The sequence below is a fragment of the Homo sapiens genome, chromosome 20, assembly GCF_000001405.40.
Source record: "Homo sapiens chromosome 20, GRCh38.p14 Primary Assembly".
In the NCBI taxonomy this organism is placed as follows: domain Eukaryota; kingdom Metazoa; phylum Chordata; class Mammalia; order Primates; family Hominidae; genus Homo; species Homo sapiens.
In genome coordinates this window covers 61,853,545-61,873,226 of record NC_000020.11, presented here as the reverse complement: position 1 = coordinate 61,873,226, position 19,682 = coordinate 61,853,545, and the positions used below count along the sequence as shown (strand labels likewise).

Sequence of the window (19,682 nt, the reverse complement as noted above, 5' to 3'; positions counted from 1 at the left end):
AAACCTAGAAGGGACTCTGAGCAGGGAGGCTGTGCCTATAGGACTCCGTCAGATGGAGCACATCTGGGGGCGCCCTGGGACTGGGGGCCGCTGGCATTTCAGAGGGGCTCGGTGAGCTGCCCATGTGCTCTCTCAGCTTGGTGCCTCAGTTTCCCCATGCACACATTGGGGTTGAGGTCTATAGTGCACTCTGGCACATTCCCCACTTTCTGAGAATGGCACTTGGCTTTTCTTTGGCTGTGCAGCCTTTCCTGCCCTGGGGAGGGCCTGCATCAGCACGCCCCACCCTGTGGCCTCAGGACATCTCCAGGTCTGAGGACCAAGCTCTGCTGGGAGCAGTGGTGGGTGGGGGCTTTAGTCCCTGCCTACTGAGCACCAACTCTGTGCTAGCGCTGTACCCGGTGGAGGCCCCGCTCTGTGAGCTCCTGACTGCTGTCTCCTGATGCTGGCACGGCGGGCTCTCTCACCTGGAAGTCCTGGGGCTGGACTCTGCCCGCCACCTTCCGGTGTTCCTGCCCTGGCTCTGCACACGTGTGTGCTCAGCTTGCCCTGCTGGCTGCCTGAGATGCCCCAGAACTCTGGAAGCTCGGGTGCCCGGCCCTGCAGCGTTCATGCACAGAGGAGAGCTGCTGGTGCCCTGCTGGGCCCTGGGGATGGTGCAACCTCTACCTGTGCAGTGCCTCCCCTGGCTGACGGGGCTGGGGTCATGCGGCGGGCCAGGTGCGGGGTGGCAGTCTCAGAGAGACCCGAGGTGCTCGTTCCCGTGTGCATGAGATGAAGGACTCTCGCCACACCAGCCTTGGGATCTTGCACAATCTGTTCTGCATCTGGAACGTTCTTCCCTCTCCTCCACCTGGCCAACTCCTCCTCATCCCCAAAGCCCCGTCCTGGCCCTCTGGACTGAGTCATGGGGCCCTGTGCATCCTCATCTCACCTGCATTGAAACAGCTGTGTGTCTACTTATTGTCTATGTCCTCTGTGGGATTACAGCCACCACAAGGGCGGGGCTGGGTCCATGCTGTCCCTGTGACCTGGCACACAGATGCCCTGTTGGACATTTGCTGGACTGTGCCAGAAGCCCAGGGTGCGGGGCGGCCTCATGCTCAGGAGGCAGGGTCTGCGAGGAGCCCGAAGCTACTGCTTATTTCCAGGACCCCAGAGCAGGCAGGGAGCCTTCCCCCTCGCCCCTCCCCCACCTCGCCCTCCCTCTGCAGCCCTGCAGAGAAGACCGCCACTCTGGCCTTCCACCCAGGCAGGACAAGCCCAGGTGGGATGCAGGGGAACCCTGGGTGTGTCTGACTAGGAGTTTGCTTCAGCTTTCAGCTTCTACTGAATGCAAAATTCTCAAAGCAGACACGTTTCATGAAAACACAGAAAAACAAGCGGAGGCAGGAGCACTTCAAAGAGCAAGCTGTATGGCACGTGAATTATAGTTCAATCAAACAGATTTATGCAGTAAGCAAACGGGTGGGAGGGGCCGTGGCCTGGCGACCATCAGCCTCTGGAACTAGGGACCCCACCCCGATGATCCTTGCCCCCATCACGATGTCCCCACCACTTTAGAGCACAACAAGCCTGGTCCCAACCATACTCCCCTCTAAAGAGACATCCCCCTCCCTCTGTGCTGGCTTTCCTCTGCATTTTCCTAAGAGGAAAACCCTGAAGTGCAGCACCCTAGGAGTGAGGGTGAACTGGGAAGAAACAGTCCTAACACACGCGCAGAGCTAACTGCAGTAACTTAGGCTGAGGTTCTCTGTGATTGTTAGCGTCCCCTACTTAGCAGCAAAAAGAAATCATTCGTGGAGAGGGATAACATCACACACAGCCTCCTTTTTAAAAGAGCACAAAACTTTCAATGTGGCAATGAGAAGACTTCAAGCTGACTTCTCAACAGGAACGATGGAAGCTGGAAAACAATGGAATACAAGGAACTCACGAGGAGCCTGGCATTCATTATTCAGTGAAAAAAACTTTCTAAAATAAAAGTGAAAAATAGACACTAAATGTGATAAATGATAAAACAAAAAATTACCACCTGGAGACCCACACTAGAGGAAATACTAAGGGTGTTTTCAGGCAGAAGGAAAATGATTCTAGAGGGCACCTTGGAAATGCAGAAAGATATGAGGAGCTCTGTCTCTGTCTCTCTCTCTGATATGTACACACACACACACACACACACACACATCCTATAAATATACATATACGTAATGTTTATATAAAGGATAAATACACTGGTGCGTCTAAGGAATATGACTTGTATAAACAAAAATAACTTTGCCTCGTGAGGGTTTTAAAGCTGCTTACCGAAACACCAGAACAAACACCTGCAGAATTTCATTTGCAAAGCAGATGGTGGGTCTGACCAGGGCGGTGTTACTAACGTTCAGCCTTCATCAAGCCAGGAATCCCCGAGCAAGTGAAGCCAATGTTGGCGCATCAGGCACTATTTGAAACCACCCATCTCTACGAAAGGGCAGAGCTGGGAAAGTCATGGGGGTCGGTGGTGACCGCATTTGGCTCATCTGGTTCAGAAAGTCAAAGGGAGAAGCCACTCCAGCTTCCCGAAGCACTCACTGTTCCCCTCCACCCGTGGCCCCCGGCATTTTCGTCTGTGAAACCTGTGAGGATCCACATGCCTGTCGCAGAAAGGGGCCCAGTAGCTTGATGGTGGGGGTGGCAGGATGATGGCAGGGACATGCAGAAGGTGGAGGGAGAGAAGCAAAGCCCTGACCAGTGAGGGAAGAAGGGATCGGGCACTGTCTGTTGTACTCACTGAAAGCAGCACAGCCAGCCTGGTTTCTGAGAATGACGGTCTCTCGGGCTGGATGGGGATGCGGAGCCCTTCTGACGGCCTTGGCCTCTTCCTCACCCTGCCCCAGCCCCTACCGCCATTCCTGGGTCCCCACCCTGTGCCCAGCTGGCCCGAGGGTCTTTTGTGCATGGGTTTGTCATGTCTCAGAGAAATCTCACGGATGGCCTGCTGCCCACGTGCAGGAACTCGGGCCAGTCACGCATCGGACAGCGGTGGAGCAGGGCTGGGGTCCAGGATCTGGGCTTGGAGCTCTTCTCCACTCAGCCCTACTGGCTGGGGGAGGTGGAGGGACAGCGAGTCAGCCCAGGACTCCCAGCACCTCAGGGTTACTGATCCACTGTGAGGCAGAGACCCGCGTACTCCCTTTGAGTGCCTGCCCTGATCCACCATATCACTGAGAAATCACATTAGCAGAACGGCTGGGAGCCTCCCACCACAGAGGTCCCCCTCCTCCGCCTCCACAGGACTCAGATAACCTCACGACATCATGGGAACTCCCTGCCCACTGGGGCCCAGCTCTCCCCACTGAGGATGGAATGTGGAGTGGCATTTCCAGCTGATCTCTCCTGAAGGACTCCTCGGTCCCCGAAGGCCAGGCAGGAGGTCCTCCCCCACCAATCGAAGCTGCCTCCTCCAAGCAGTCCCTCGGCGGAAGGGGCCTGCTGCTGTGTGATTTCATGTAGGGAGGAGGACTAAGCCCCCTTGGAGGCTTGGGGACCTGGGGAAAAGGCGGGCCAGGATGTGGACGTGAGAGGGTTTGGCATTGAGGAGGGGCCAGGTGGGATGTGTGGAATGGGAAGTCAGCGGGAGGCTGGAAACAGACCTTTGGGACCCTGACTGGGCCACCTCCTTTTTTGACAGATGGGGAAACTGAATCCCACAGACGAGGAACGTGGCTGGGTCCAGTGAGCTCTGCTAGACCCAGACTGAAAGCAGCCACGCTCTCCTCCAGGGTCCAGCAGACACTTTCTGTAAAGGGCTGGACAGTATGTATGTCAGGCTTTGCGGGCACACATTCCCTGTTCCAACTCCTCAAAGCTGCACAGAAGCAGCCTGAGAGGATGCGTCCAGCAATGGGCACGGCTGTGTTCCCATCAAACCATTCACAGAAGCAGGTGCTGAGCTGTGTTTGGCCGGTGGTTTGCTGACCTCTGCTGTATGCTCTTTTTTTGGATTTCAGGGACAACATTGGTTTTTAAAAATACAGGGGAATCAATATAGGGTTGCCAACTTCTAGTTCTACCAAGGGAAGACCTTAAAGTATACATCTAGCTCAAATGTTTCATGAAAGGAAAATAATGTTTTACCATCAAAATCATAGGAAAGACTTAGTCTCAGAATAAAGGCCAGTCCTTCATTCAATAAGTTGAGCTCCTTGAAGGCACTTGCCACGTTTGCCACGTCTAGAGGCTTTGTGTGTGTCCACCACAGCCTGCCACGTTTGCCACGTCTAGAGGCTTTGTGTGTGTCCACCACAGCCTGTGAGCTGCAGGTGCCACAGCTGGAGGCTTGGCTCAGTGGGGGCCAGGTGTGCCCGGCTGGGATGGGGCTTCCCCACGTGTGCTCAGAGCTCCCCGTCTCCCGCCCTCCCCTCTGGAATACATGGTGGGGAAACCAGGTGACAAGAGGAGAGGCAGCTCCAGCACAGGAGGAAAGCACCCAGCTGGCCAGGGAGGAGGACACCTGCCCAGTGTGGGGGGACACCTGCCCAGAGTGGAGGGACACCCGGCCAGTGTGGAGGGGACATCCGCCCAGCATGGAGGACACCGCTTAGCATGGAGGGACACTCAGCCAGCGTGGAGGGGACATCTGCCCAGCATGGAGGTATAATCGCCTGGTTTGCCTTAAGGCTGATGACAGCAGGGTTTATGGCCTGTTGTGGGTTTGGGAGTTGAGATGCTGGCCCTTCCCTCTACTGTCTATGATGCTGAATACTGTGGAGCTGTCCGGGTCCCCACCTACCAAGCTGTCTGTGCCTCTCACCCCTTGTTGGCCCCTGCCCCATTAGAAGCTGGGCCTCTGCGGCAGGAACCAGCCAGGCTGCCTCCCCTCTGACTCCTCAGAGGTCCTGCTCAGGCCTACAGCTGTAGAGGGTTCCCTTGGACTGAATTCCCTCCCATCTACAGCATTCCCGCGTCTCTGTACCACGGAACACAGACGGCCCCAGGATGCCCGCCCTGGGAAGGGGTCCTGGCGTGGACGAACCCCCTCTGCACCCCCACCGTGGGATGAGCTGGTGGCCCTGGCCCAGACCCCAGAGTCCTCCAGCGTGGAAACTCCACATGTCTGACTTGAAGGACTGATCCATTCTGCGGTTTATGCTCATTAACCAAGCACTAATCGGATATTGATCAGGGGTCCAAGTCTCTGCCTGCTTTTTGGTTACGAATAATTGCACCCCTTACATCTGATGCAAGCAACAATATCCCCATTTCCATGTGGTGGAGTTTTTGCAGAAATAGAATGTCTTCCTCACAGAGAAGAGCCTGGACGTTCTGAGATGGCCGGAGTCATCGGAACTCAGCTCACCTTGGCAGATGCATCGCGCCTCGTGGGCCACCTTAGTTTACGCACCCACTCCCCCGTGGAAAGGACTGCTCATTAGAAGCTTGCAGTGGCTTTTATCACATTAGCTCTTCATTAACTCAAGACAGTAATGGCTTTAAACCAATGCCATGGTGCCCTCCTCTGCTCGCCTCCTGCCTCAGGAGGCAAATCCTGCACTTAGAGCTGCTGGCCACCTCCAGGGCACAGGAGGAGGGGCCTGGGGGGAGGAGGAAAATGTGATGAGCACCCAGGAATCCCCCACTTTACTTGGGCTCAATTTTATCATAAGCTCTCTCTCTCTCTTTTTTTTTTTTTTGGATGGAGTCTTGCTCTGTCGCCCAGGCAGGAGGGCAGTGGCATGATCTTTGTTCACTGCAGCCTTCACCTCCTGGGTTCAACTGATTCCCCTGCCTCAGCCTCCCAAGTAGCTGAGATCACAGGAGTGCACCAACATGCCCGACTAATTTTTGTGTTTTTAGTAGAGATGGGGTTTCTCCATGTTGGTCAGGCTGGTCTTGAACTCCTGAGCTTAGGTGATCCACCTGCCTTGGCCTCCCAAAGTGCTGGGATTACAGGTGTGAGCTACCGTGCCTGGCCTATCATAAGCTCTTTGAGGGGAGGTCCCCTGCTTCTGACACAGTGCCTGGACTGGCAAAGCCAGGGTGTCAGTGTTTCAGGAAGGGAGAGCAGGGCTTCAAAATCCCAGGCTCAGAGTCAAACATGCATGCGCCCAGAGCGAGTGTTCTGGAAACAGCTGTGTGTGTGTGGGCACCTGGAAGGCAGCCTCCACCCGTCTCTCTCCTGCTGGTTCCTCACTGGATGCTCCCTGAGGATGGACGCTGCTCTTAAGAACCACCCCCAGCCGTCGGCATCATCTCCTTCCCGGGAAAGGGCGACGGCAGGGCCCCTCTTTGGGAGGCCCCTCTTTGGGAGGTGGCTCAGGATCCCACTCTCTGGCAACAAGGACCGCTCCCTGCTTTCCGGCCAACTGCGAAAACATGCTCCATCTAGGCATCTACGCTTTTTTCTTTTTGCTACGTTCAGGAATCTGCTTTTTAAGGCCAAATGACACACTTTTGAGAATTCTTTTCTGGATGCAGAAATAAAACACACTCATGATAACTAGCACACGCTCACCGGGAAACATCTAAAGGCACAATGAGGAGAAGGCACTGACCGTCTCACACCCAACACACCTGCTGGAACGCTGGGGTGTAGCCCTCTTGCCAAAGGGTCTGGATCGTACATCTTTAACACAGATGGGCTTTCTGCTGCTTCTCCTTCTTTTTAAAACCAACTTTATTATTGATCAAAGAAATGAAAGGAAGACATTTTCCACATGTCAAATGTGCAAAAGCTACTTTAAAATAATGATGGTACCTAATCGTGATGGCACAGAGGGCAGCTGGCCCCTTCCATGGCCTCCGGGGGGAGGGGGAGGCCTCAGCTTCTCAGAGGCGGTTTAGCTGTGCATACACAAAACCCTTCAAAATGTGCCCACTCAGCAAATTCACTGCTAGGAGTTTATCCTAAGGAAAAAATCGCAGGTGTGGAAAACCCTGGCTGTCCAAGCTGACATCGTTTCTGAGAGCAGAGTAGGGCCTGGAACAAATATTTACTGAACATCCCTCTGTGCCAAGCATTGAGACCTATGTTGTGTATACCCCAGGGGCTGAAGCTCATAAACAAAATCCCCCATGCCAGGGGGTGGCACCGAGGGTCCTCTGGGCAAAATCCCCCATGCCAGGGGGTGGTGTGGCCACTACAGAACAACTGAGGGTCCTCCAGGTAGGAAACTTCGGTCCCTTGATGACCTCAGTGCCAGGATGCTGGTGGTGACAGGGTACCGTATGATCCCAGGTGCTGCTAAGATGTTCAATATAAACACGAGCAATGACCAGATCAAATATAAAAATAGAATTCTGACCACACCTGCAGTAAGCAGCCCAGGAAACTAAGCCATTACCTACACTAACCAGCCAGGAAGCCAGCTATCATCTACACTAACCAAGGAAACTAACCCATTATATACACAAACCAGCCAGGAAGCCAGCTATCATCTACACTAACTAGCTCAGGAAACTAACCCATTACATACACTAACCAGTCAGGAAGCCAGCTATCATCTACACTAACCTGTCCAGGAAACTAACCCATTACATACACAAACCAGCCAGGAAGACAGCTATCATCTACACTAACCAGCCAGGAAGCCAGGTATCATCTACACTAACCAGTCTAGGAACCTAACCCATTACATACACTAATGAGCCAGGAAGCGACCTATCATCTACACTAACCAGCCAGGAAGCCAGCTATAATCTACACTAACTAGCCCAGGAACTAACCCATTACATACACTAACCACCCAGGATGCCAGGTATCATCTACACTAACCAGTACAGGAAACTAACCCATTACATACACAAACCAGCCAGGAAGCAACCTATCATCTACACTAATCAGCCAGGAAGCCAACCATTATCTATACTAACCATTCAGGAAGCCAGCCCATTATCTACACTAACCAGCCAGGAAGTCAGTTATCACCTGCATAAACCATTCCAAGAAGTCAGTCCATCATCTACACTAACCATCCCCAGAAGCCAGCTCATCACCTACACTAATCAGCCAGGAAGTCAGTTCATCACCTACATTAACTAGCCAGGAAGTCAGCTCACTGCCTCCTGCCGGATGCAGCGAGGGATGCAGGGTGGCAGGAGGGGTACCTGGCAGAGCTGTTGGGGGGCAGGGGCAGGGGTGGGAGCACAGGGAGAGGCCAGGCAGGGGTCGGGGCATGAGGTCTGGGCGCACACAGATTGAAGTTCACGAGGCTGCCTCGAATCCACTCAGGGGTGGATTTAGGCAGAAAATGCCCCAGGTGTGGCACAGAGCCCTGGAGGCTCTGCTGCACAGCAGACTGGAGAGAAAGCCAGGACCCGGGGGGGTGACAGGGCAGGAGAGTGGCCCCGTGCAGCCCCAGAGAGGACCACAGCCAGGGGTCAAGGGCAACAGGACAACTGCTGCACTTGGCCTTGCCCTGGGAGGCCCCAGCGAACTCACCAGGGCTGGTTTGTCAGTGGATTCAGGAGGGAATGATGGGTGGAGATAATCGGGTTTGTCTCATAAGGGTCTGCCCGGGAAGCTGGGGCCACCTCCCCCTCGGTCCTCTCATGGGCGCCGTCCGCGCTGGCAAGGGCTTGGCTCTGGGAGTTGAGTGAGTGTGTCCTGGAGAGGGAGCTGCGGTGCCTCTGACCTCACTGGATCCACGGCCCCTTGTGTCTGGAGTCCCTGAGCCACAGTGGCCGCTCCAGGATCCTGGGATCAGCAGACGTGGTCTCTGTGGCTTGGGTCACACAGCCCTCTCCCAGCAATGTGTTTTCTTGTGTTTCTGGGGGCATGTGCTGCGTTCCCCACAGGCTCCAAGTGGCAGGATGTTCGATGGACAGGGTTTCTGGCTGCATGGGGAGGGAAGTGGGCGAAACCAGGGGGTTCCCCAGGCTTCTCCCCAAAGGGGACTGCACTGGTCTCCTGGGCTGCTGTGCCAAAGCACCGCAGATGGGGAGCTTGAAGCAACAGAACTGGCCCCGTCAGCTCCAGAGGCCAGGAGGCAGCACCAGCACACAGGGCTCAACGCCAGCAGCCCTGCCCTGGCCCTTCCAGCTCCTGGGGTTGGGGCACCGTCCAACTTGGGTGCTCCTGGGCTTGTGGCCACGTCACTCCAGCCTCTGCCTCCACCGTCTTAGGCCCTGCCCTGTGTCTTGTCCTCTTGTTAGAAGGAAAACAGTCATTGGATTCAGGGCCCACCCTACTGGCCTCATCTTAACAAAATGTCTGCAAAGAACTATTTTTGAATAAGGTCACATTCTGAAGTGCTGGATGGATGTGAATTGTGGGGCAGGGCTCCAGTCCACCCGCCCAAGGGCTAAGCTGAAGCTGAGGCAGGCAGTGTCTGGAAACCCATGCTGGTAAGGCTGGGAGGAGACGGGGGCCTCTTTCCATCCGCAGGAGCCTCTGTGGCCCTGGGTGACTTTGGAGGCCAGGTGGGGCTTGGCACTAGAGCAGCCATCCCAGCCTCATGGCTCTGCACCCTCGCTTCACCTCCGGGAGCCTCGGCTCCTCCTCTGCACCTAGAGCTGCTCTGTCCCTCTGGCCTCCTTCCTGTGCTGTAAGCAGTGCTGGCTCTGGTGTCTGGGAAGTGGGAACCTGGATCCCCGTGTCCCCACTGGCCCTCTCGCTTCTCCAGTGACGCAGGATCTGGGCCATGCTCAAGTGCGAGCCCTGCAGGGCTCCGTTCCACAGAGGCTGTAAATCCTGAAACTGGGCTCCCTGCAGGAAAGATGTGGCCAGCAGTCCCTCACCTGTGCCCTCTGCCGAGGAACGGTCACCCAGTGGCATCTGCGCTAACCTGGGGTGCCCAGGTGAGTTCTCCTGCCCCGTGGGCTTTGAGAATGAGAAGGAAACCATCTTTCTAGGGCTTTCTCTGGAGGCCTCTTTCCACCTCCTTCTCCCCCAGCAGACAGACCTGAGTATTTCCCCATCAAGGAAGCAGCGAGTTGGGACAGCATCCCCCGCCCCGGCTGCAGGTGAGGAACAGCCTCGTCTTTCACGTGGGAGATGCTGGACACCTCCTTACGGATCGTGCTAACAGGTAAAGGGGGAGACAGCGGAGGCTGCCAGGCTCGGCTCTTTCTCGGAATTCATGTACCAACGCTGCCATGCGCCTTAAAGGATTAATTTCACAAGCCTTCAATTGCAGTTTAATTTGAAAACTAATTCAGCCCCATAATTGGCTTTCTGTTCAAATCACTGAGGCTAGAGATTTAAATTCTTAATATTCAGACGACTTTCAAGTATCTAGTGCCATCTGTGCATTAACCTCAGGGGGACTTCTGCCGGCAAAGAAAGAAAATAAATAAATAAACGGGGCCCACTAATAGAATAATCTGTTTAAGCAAAAACTCGGTGCTGTATAGATGAAGGTCTCTTTGACTTCATTTGCAGCACGCAGATTTCCCTGCTTTTTAATATTTTAAAATGACATTAATTTCAAAACTTATAATATAGGCCCCACACAGTTACGAGGGGTTAGAGGAAGTAGCACATCCCGATTAGAGCCCTTTTTAGTTAAAAAATCATCAATACGGAGGTGTCTTTCCCTGGGCACTTTGAGAAATGCTGAGAGCCTGGGTGAGTTCCCGAGCCCTGAGAGCTCGTTCTCTGATGCTGCGGGGGACAGCGGTGGAAAACAGTCACTGGTCAGTGATGGGGAGCGAGGGGTCCAGGGGACCAGGCAGTACGGATGGCAGGCTGGCTGTCCACTGCCCTCCTGCCCTGGACGAGACGCCTGGCCTCACAGTGGGCCTGGCAGACATCTGCCTCCCTCTGCACCTGTGTGGACCCCACCTGTCCATCAAGGACCGCCCCCGCCAAGGAGGTCCTCATGGACTCCTGCCCATCTTGCAGAATGAGTCCACCTTGGGAGAACCAGGAGCTAGTGCTGGGACACGTCTGAGGTGTCATCAAGGCTTGAGAGCTGCCCCCGGGGTCAGGCTGAGGCTGGGCTCTCCCTGCAGCCTCCACGGCAAGGGTGAAGGAGGAGATGGGGTCTCTGTGCTCAGAACTGGAACCCGGTGGTGGAGACCAACAGCCACCTGAGTGACTCTCCGGGTGTCAAGGGAGTCGCCCAGGGCATGGAGGGGGCTGCCTGGGGGAGAGGCCAGGGCAAGACATCTGTGCAGAAGTGGCTGTGAGCTGCAGGAGGAAAGGAGCTGGCGCAGAGCGTGGGGGACAGCGCCCTGGGCTGAGGGCACAGCCTTTGCCAGGGCCCGGGGACAGGGAAAGGCGCTTCCCGTTCACAGTGGCCTGGGACGTTTGCTTCCCTGCCTTTCCCCAGGTGTGAGGCCTGCACCTTGAGGAGCGGATGTATCTCTGGGTTTCTCAACGGGACAGTGCGCTTCTGGAGGGTGGGGTTCCTGCGTTCCCACCTGGTGCCCTCCGCAGCACCCAGCTAAGATGCCCACCTTACCCACAGGACAACACAGCCACCTGGGACTTCTTCCTACAGGAAACTGCCCATGCTACACATTGCCCCCTCCTCCCTCCTGCCTGATGGTGTACGTGACGCTTGGGGGCGCCGCAGCCACCTCGTGACAACGTGGTGAGAACTGAGAAGCGGGGTGACCACCACACAGGCCTCGGCCCGACGCCTTGAGCTCTCACCCCAGCCTCCACTTGTTCAAGCTGCTGTGGTTGGGTTTTCTGTGGTTGGGTTCTCTGTGGTTGGGTTTTCTGTGACTTTCAGCCAAAGGCATTCCTAACGCACAGGCGGGGAAGGGGAGGCGGTTTGCAGAGTGGTTAGCAGGGGCGTTCAGGAGACCATCCATTGGCCTCTAAGTCTTGCCTTTCCCTCCCAGCTGCTGTGGGTCTTTACTGTTACAGAACGGTGCCTTCACTTCCTCATGTTGTATGCGGGGGAAATAAAACTAGCCGTTTCCTGGGGCTGTCGTGGCATTTAGTGAGCTGATTTGTATGGAGAACTTAAGAGTGGTGCCTGGCACCTGGCCGAGTGGATGAATGCCGCCGGCCGCATTTCTGTGATGACCGCATGATCGCATCTTCAGCGGAAGGTGTGTCCTTCCCACGTGGAACCTCACTAGGCCTCATTGCTGGCCCTGCCCCTGGGTGCAGAGAAGCAGGGATCGTCGGTGGAGACCAGCGGAGCCCACGTCCAGTGCGGTTCTTGGGACTAGGCAGAGTGGACAGCTGAGGCAGGTGCGGGTGCGTGAGCTTCAGGTCAGGGTGGTGGCCACAGCTATTTTTCATCTGTTGCTTGCTCTTCTCAAAAGGTCCAGTTCAAAGGAATAGAACACACCTTTTTAGACCCAAAGGCACCCTGGGGGGCTGCATGCTGATCTGCAGGCAGACAGCCAGAGGGTCCCCCGGGTACTTCTCTGCCCTGGGGACAAGGGTGGCTGTTTCTCAGCACAGGTCTCCATGGGTCTCAGAGTCCTCCTGCAGATATAAATGCCAGGATCCTGCAGGAGGAGCCCTTGGGAAACACAGCCTGTGGGCCATTACTCTAGACGGGAGGGGGAAACCAGCTGTGGCTTGTAGCCAACCCTGCAGGGGCCTGGATGCCACCTGGACAGACGCCTTCAGTGGTCACTGTCATTTTCAGTGATGCCTCTTCCCCTCCTGAGAACCTGCTGGGGCCCTGCACAGAACCCAGCAACCTTGCCTTGCATTGGGGCCCTTCTGAGGTGCTGTTTCTGCTTGTCAGGGCATCCTGCACCTCCTCCTCCCTCCCAGACATCTCCTGGGAGCAGGCAGGTCCTTCATAAATCACCTGCACCCAAGTCCTCCTGGCAGGCCAGCGTCTGGGAACCAGACCTCAGGCATGGCCATGGTTGGCCCATCCCAGGCCAGAAAACTGCATCGTTCAGACATGGCTGATTTGGAATTTGTGATCATTCACAAATATGCATATCCGAGGTGTAGCTCAGCCCTCAGGGAAGACAGGGATTGCCAGGCAGACCAGCAGGGTGACCAGGCAAGGACCCCGTGGACCTCGGTGCTCTGAGGAATCTGGAACATAGGTGGTTTTCAAAGTTGTCTTGTATTTATTAAGAGAGGTTTGAGTTGACAGAATTACCTTGGTGGAGTCAGGAAAATGAACTGATATTTTGAGCCAGAATGTATTATTAAGTTGCTGTTAATATGAAGGAGTTACAGCTGCAGATAATAAGGACACTGTCAATGACAGCGTCACTGCCGGGAGCCACATAGACGCCTGCCCCTGACCTTCCCCGCCCATGAGGCAGGCACTGTCCTTGTTCTTTTACTGAAGATGTGTGAAGCAGTGGGAAGGAGCTTGCCTGGGGCCACCCCAGGGCCATGCTGTGGTCACGCGGCAGTGCCGTGGACAGCATGGCAGAACCCCTGCCTGCTGAGGAGGGGGCTGAGTACGGGCAGTGCTGTGTGCATGTTCCCACCCTGGTGGAGGGACACAGGTGAAGGCCAGGGCATGACCACCTCACACTGTCCACGAAGCCATCCCTCCACCCGGCAGCGAAGCTGGCCGTGAGGCTACGGTCATCCTGCAGTGTTGGCAGGAGACACACAGACCAATAAACCTAGGAACAGACCCACACAAATGTGCCCAATGGATGTCCTGCAAAGATGTCAAAGCAATTCACCGGAGGGAGGACAGCCTTTCAATGTATGGCGCTGGGGCAGTCATGGAAAATATGGAGATGAGCAAAAAATACACCTGGATCTACATCTCACATGTTATATAAAAATTAACTCAAAATGAATCATGGACCTAACGTAAACTACAAACCTAAACAACTGTTAGAAAACCCAGAGAAGAGCATTTTCAGAACCTAGGGCTTGATGAAGAGCTCTCAGACTTGATGCTGAAGCCTGCTCCGTAAGAGGAAGCATGGATAAACTGGACTTCCTCCAAATTAAACACTTTCGCTCGCAAAGACCCTGGGGGGAGGATGGAAGACAAGTTACTGAGTGGGAGAAATATTTGCAAACCACATATCCGACAAAGGACTTGTATCTAGAATACGTAAAGAATTCCGAAAACTCAACAGTAAAAGAATAACGTAGTAGGAAATGGACGAAAGCCATGAAGAGTCGTTTCCTTGAAGAGGACACGCAGATGCCAATAAACACAGGAAAAGACACTCAGCACCATTTGCCAGAGGGAAAACACATTAAAACCACGAGGGGCCACCATGCACCTCTTAGAATGGCTAACGTTGAAAGTGATGACAACGTCAGATGCTGGTGAGGATGCCGAGAATCCGGGACTCTCAGGAGGGCGGGATGAGTGTGCGATGGGGCAGCCCCTCTGGCAGAGAACATGGAAGTTCCCCACAAAACAAACGCCTGCTCCCGAGATGACCCCACAATTGCATTCTCGGGCATTCATTCTAGAGAAATGGAAACTTATGTTCACACGAGACCCCATGCAGGAATGGGTGCTCAGAGCAGCTCAGTTCATCATGGCCCAGAGTTGAAACTGCCCAGCGTCCATCAGTTGGGGATGGCTCATAAGCCGCGGTACACCCAGGCCACGGAATTCTACGCCACAGAAAGGAACGAGCTATGGATACGACCTGGCTGTACATCCAGAGAACGATGCTGCAGGAAAACAGCCAATCCCAAAAGGGAACACACGGCTGTGATTCCATTTCTATAGTATCCTTGGAATGACAACACTACAGATGAAAATAGAGTCGTGGTTGCCACAGGTTAGGGTTGATGGGAGGCACACAGACAGACACACATGCAGACACAGACACACACACAGACGCAGACACACAGACACAGATACACAGACACAGACACACACATACAGACACAGAGACACAGACACAGAGACACACACAGATACAGACACAGAGACACACATAGACACAGACACACACACAGACGCAGACACACAGACACAGAGACACAGATACACATACAGACACAGAGACACGCACAGAGAGACACATACGCAGATACAGACACAGACAGACACAGACACACATACAGACACAGAGACACACACACAGACACAGACACACATAGACACAGACACACAGACGCAGACACACAGACACAGACACACAGACACAGAGACACAGACACACATATAGACACAGAGACACACACAGAGACACACACAGACACACAGAGACACACAGACACAGACACACACACAGATGCAGACACCCAGACACAGACACACAGAAACAGAGACACAGACACAGAGACACACACAGAGACATATACAGACACACACACAGAGACACACAGACACAGACACACACACAGATGCAGACACAGACACAGAGACACACAGAGACACACACACTCAGACACAGAGACACACAGAGACACACACAGACACAGAGACACACAGACAGACACACACTGACACACACACAGATGCACACAGAGACACACACACACACAGACACACCAATGAATGCAGGTCAAACGGGTGGGATCCTAGTAGGGGCTGTGGCCGGTACGAAGGTCAGTTTCCTGGCTGTGACCTGCACTGCGGTTCTGCAAGATATCACCCTTGGGGGAGGCTGGCTGAAGGGCTTACAGGATCTGTCTGTCTTATTTCCTACAACTGCATGTGACTCTACAATTATCTCAAAATAAAAAGATTTTTTGAGAAGTCATTTCTTCCAGTGAAATCCCATCGGGAAGCCCAACGCAGCAGACGAAAGTGGCGAAGCTTGGGTGGACGGAGTGAGGGCTGCGAAGCCAGGCCCCAGCTCCCTCCACATGGGGGGCCCCTAGTCACCTCCGTGGGCCTCAGGCCTCGCTGGAAACTGGGCAAAAATCCTCGGCCCTCCCGTCATTTCAGGTGGACCTTGTTTTTTTTTGGAGGGAACCCTGATTTTGGTTCCACTTTCTGGGGAACTTGAAATAAACCAACGTTGATTTCTTTGTGGAAAACGTCTGTGGTACGGGTCTGCGGGTCACCCAGCAGGGCCTTCTCCCACCATCGGAACTCACCAGCCTTAGGGTCACATACGCAGCCCGGGCCGAAGGCCTCGGTGGGAACGCCCACTTCCTGGAGCCCCGTCTTACTCCATGGCGAACGCACACGCGCCGCCCACCATCCCAGACAGCGCGGAACGCATGAAGATGGAGGGTGTCCCCCGGTTGTGTGCCACAGGCTGTCACCCTCTGCCCCGGGGAGGGGTATGGGGGCAGGGGCAGGGCAGTGAGACCCACGAGAACCTGCCTTGGGACTTTTGCGGGGACTCTTGGGAAAGACACGCTCCCCTCACCCCCAGGGCTGTCCAGCTGCTTAGGAACAAGCTTTTGGCCTCCAAGGCCATGGTGGCTGCAGCAGAGAGGATCTCTTGGAGGAGAAAGGAGGGTGGGGTTGAAAACCGGCCGGGGAGACTCTGGAAACACATCTCAGCCAGGGGCGCTGCCACACCTGGCACTGCCAGCCCTGCCTGCACTTCCCAGTCATGGTCCCCTTGCTCGGGGAGCCCCTGGGGTGGGGTCTGCCTCCTGCTCACTAACAAGACATCTCACTCTGTGCCTCAACCACAAAAGAGCCGGCCACGGTGCCTGCCACACCCTCTGAGCCCAGCAGGGCAGGTCAGTAGTGCCCCAGGGGATTTCATGAATTCAGGAGGGCTGGATAAGAGTGTGGGGTGCACACAGGACCCTCGTGGATTCTAGGGGGCTGGGGAAGAATGTGGGGGTACACACAGGACCCTCATGGATTCTAGGGGGCTGGGGAAGAATGTGGGGTGCACGCAGAACCCTTGTGGATCCCGGCGGGGGGAGGTGGGGAAGAGTGTGGGATGCATGCAGGGCCCTCGTGGATCCTGGGGGGCTGGGGAAGAGTGTGGGGTGCATGAAGGATTCTCGTGGATCCCAGGGTGGTTGGGGAAGAGTGTGGGGGGCACGCAGGACTCTTGTGAATCCCGGGGGGCTGGAGAAGAGTGTGGGGGGCACACAGGACCCTCATGGATCCCGGGCCTGTACTGGCATGCTCATGTCCCCAGATGAACTCCCCAAGCCTTCGAAGTTCCTCTGGAGCTGAGTCAATATTTAACCCATCTTTCCATTTGTTTTCCATTAGAACACGCATCTGAAACCCTTCATTACCCTGTCCTTCCAGAGAATAATGACTAATTTCTGGCGGTAGTTTTTCCTTATCCCACAAAGGCACTGTGTAGAACCCTTCTATTATTGTAATTTACTGATGGAAGAGAAGAAATTGTAGAGATGATTTCCAAGTCCTGGGAAGACCGCCACTGAGAGAAGCAAGCCACACTTTGCATGGACACCATCTCTCCCTGCCCTTGTCTGGGGTGGGTGAAGGGTGACCGAGGTGGGCTTGACAGTGGCACCTCCAGCTCCGTCCTGGCCTTTGCACAAAGACAGCTTGTTGTGGGACCAGAGACAGACTCCCGATCCCCCAGGGGCTCTGAGAGTCCATGGACGTTTCACTCAACATAGTCCTGGAAAAGCTCAGGAATGGTGGGAAGAAGGGCTGACTCCGGGGTCCCGGCATCAACATGTCCTCTGGCTGCCAGGCCGTGCCCAGCTCTGCAAATGGCCGGGCAGCCGGGCTCTCCAGGCTTGGCTTACGTGGACTTACGGGGCCACGTCTCCGCAATTTGCTCTTTGTTATCCTAATGAGCAAAGCCAATTGCGCTTTTGGGAAGACTTTTGCTATTGATTTTTTAAAAAGTAAGACACGGGAGGTTTGATTTGTGATAGAAAGGCCAGGAAAATCCAGGCGCCTTTAAATAGCATCCTGGGTCTCCGGGAGAGAGGCCAGTGGTATCTGTGTGAGGAGTGTGCCTGGCCTGCCGCCCACTCCTCCACATCTGCACCCTTGCGAGGGGCTCCTGTGTCCTCATCCGTTTTCTTTGGCTGCCTGGAGCTAATCTGCTCACCCCCTGCCTGCCCCTTAAGGGATGGCTGAGGACCAGCTGCCCATGGTTCCAGTGAAATAATGTCACATTCATTCCCTTCAGTGACACTGGATGCACCCGTGTGTCATAATCCTGAAAGACAACCAATCAAGGGTGCAATTCACCCTGTTCACGCTGCAGCCCTGGGGGCAGACCAAAGGCGCAATTCACCCTGTTCACACTGCAGCCCTGGGGGTGGGCCAAGGGCACAATTCACCCTGTTCACACTGCAGCCCTGGGGGTGGGCCAAGGGCACAATTCACCCTGTTCACACTGCACCCCTGGGGGTGGGCCAAAGGCGCAATTCACCCTGTTCACACTGCAGCCCTGGGGGTGGGCCAAGGGCACAATTCACCCTGTTCACACTGCAGCCCTGGGGGTGGGCCAAGGGCACAATTCACCCTGTTCACACTGCACCCCTGGGGGTGGGCCAAAGGCGCAATTCACCCTGTTCACACTGCACCCCTGGGGGTGGGCCAAAGGCGCAATTCACCCTGTTGACATTACAGCCCTGGGGCAGGCTAAGGGCACAATTCACCCTGTTCACACTGCAGCCCTGGGGGTGGACCAAGGGCGCAATTCACCCTGTTCACACTGCAGCCCTGGGGGTGGACCAAGGGCACAATTCACCCTGTTCACACTACAGCCCTGGGGACGGACCAAGGGCACAATTCACCCTGTTCACACTGCAGCCCTGGGGGTGGGCCAAAGGCACAATTCACCCTGTTCACACTGCAGCCCTGGGGGTGGACCAAAGGTGCAATTCACCCTGTTCACACTGCAGCCCTGGGGGCGGACCAAGGGCACAATTCACCCTGTTCACACTGCAGCCCTGGGGGTGGGCCAAAGGCACAATTCACCCTGTTCACACTGCACCCCTGGGGGTGGACCAAGGGCACAATTCACCCTGTTCACACTGCAGCCCTGGGGGTGGGCCAAAGGCACAATTCATCCTGTTCACACTGCAGCCCTGGGGCAGGCCAAGAGTGCAATTCACCCTGTTCACACTGCAGCCCTGGGGGCGGACCGAGGGTATAATTCACCTTGTTCACACTATAGCCCAGGGACCGCCCACGCAGCCACCTCCACGAGCAGGTGTGATAAAGGCCTGCCTTCCAGTCCCAGAGCTGGGATGCTGCTGACCCCTCTCTGGGGGCCTGCAGGGGCGTGTGGTGCCCCTGGGAGCTGGCCCTGGCTCTGGGCTCCATGTGCTGCAGATTTCAATGCAGAAACAGCCTCCCATTTGCCCAGGACTGCCAACTTCTGTAAAGCCTGGAAGCCGTCACTTGCTGGGCACTGGCCAGGGGTGTGGTTGCTGGTGAAAATACAGGACACCCCATTAAACTCGAAGTTCAGATCAGCAAGGATTACTCTCTTAGTGTAAGTCCGTCCTAAATGGTGCTTAGGCCACACTTTAAAGTGCTTTGCTGACTCTCTGAACTTCACATTTACTTGGTGTCTTGTACTTTAGGGGTGGCCCAAGCAGAGGTCTCCTCAGTGACCTCACCTCCCCCGACCCAACCCAAGCCGGGCAAAGGTTTGTCCCAAAGAGGACCCCTCTCCACCCCCCATGCAGGAGGCAGCCACAGTGGGGAGCTGCTCCCCTCACACAGAAGCCCCCTGGGGTTTGTTAACCCACAGCCCCAGGCCACCTGCAGCATCTGGATGAGCAGGTGGGGGCTGTGCCAGCCCTGTGGGGATGTGGACACCCAGGTTCTAACCCATGTGCGCCCTGAGGGTCTGCAACTGCTTCACCTCCCCGGCCTGAGCCTCCTCACTGCTGGTGGGGGTCGTCCACTTCTTGGCAGTCACAGACGGCAGAGATGCAAGACATGACACGCTCAGCTAGG

General features: G+C 55.3%; 1 protein-coding gene across 5 annotated transcripts in view, besides 1 other annotated feature; it reads right to left on the bottom strand.

The window, feature by feature from the left end:
• The window catches only part of CDH4 (cadherin 4), a 688,357-nt gene that overhangs the window by 67,391 nt on the left and 601,284 nt on the right, over positions 1 to 19,682 (bottom strand). The gene's annotated exons all lie outside the window — the stretch shown is intronic.
• Positions 13,277 to 13,778: an enhancer, noted in NCBI's record as "H3K4me1 hESC enhancer chr20:60434505-60435006 (GRCh37/hg19 assembly coordinates)". NCBI's record gives its function as "activates a minimal SCP1, AML or CMV promoter by ChIP-STARR-seq in naive H9 embryonic stem cells {active_cell/tissue: H9 hESC(naive)}" and the evidence as "EXISTENCE:reporter gene assay evidence [ECO:0000049][PMID:30033119]".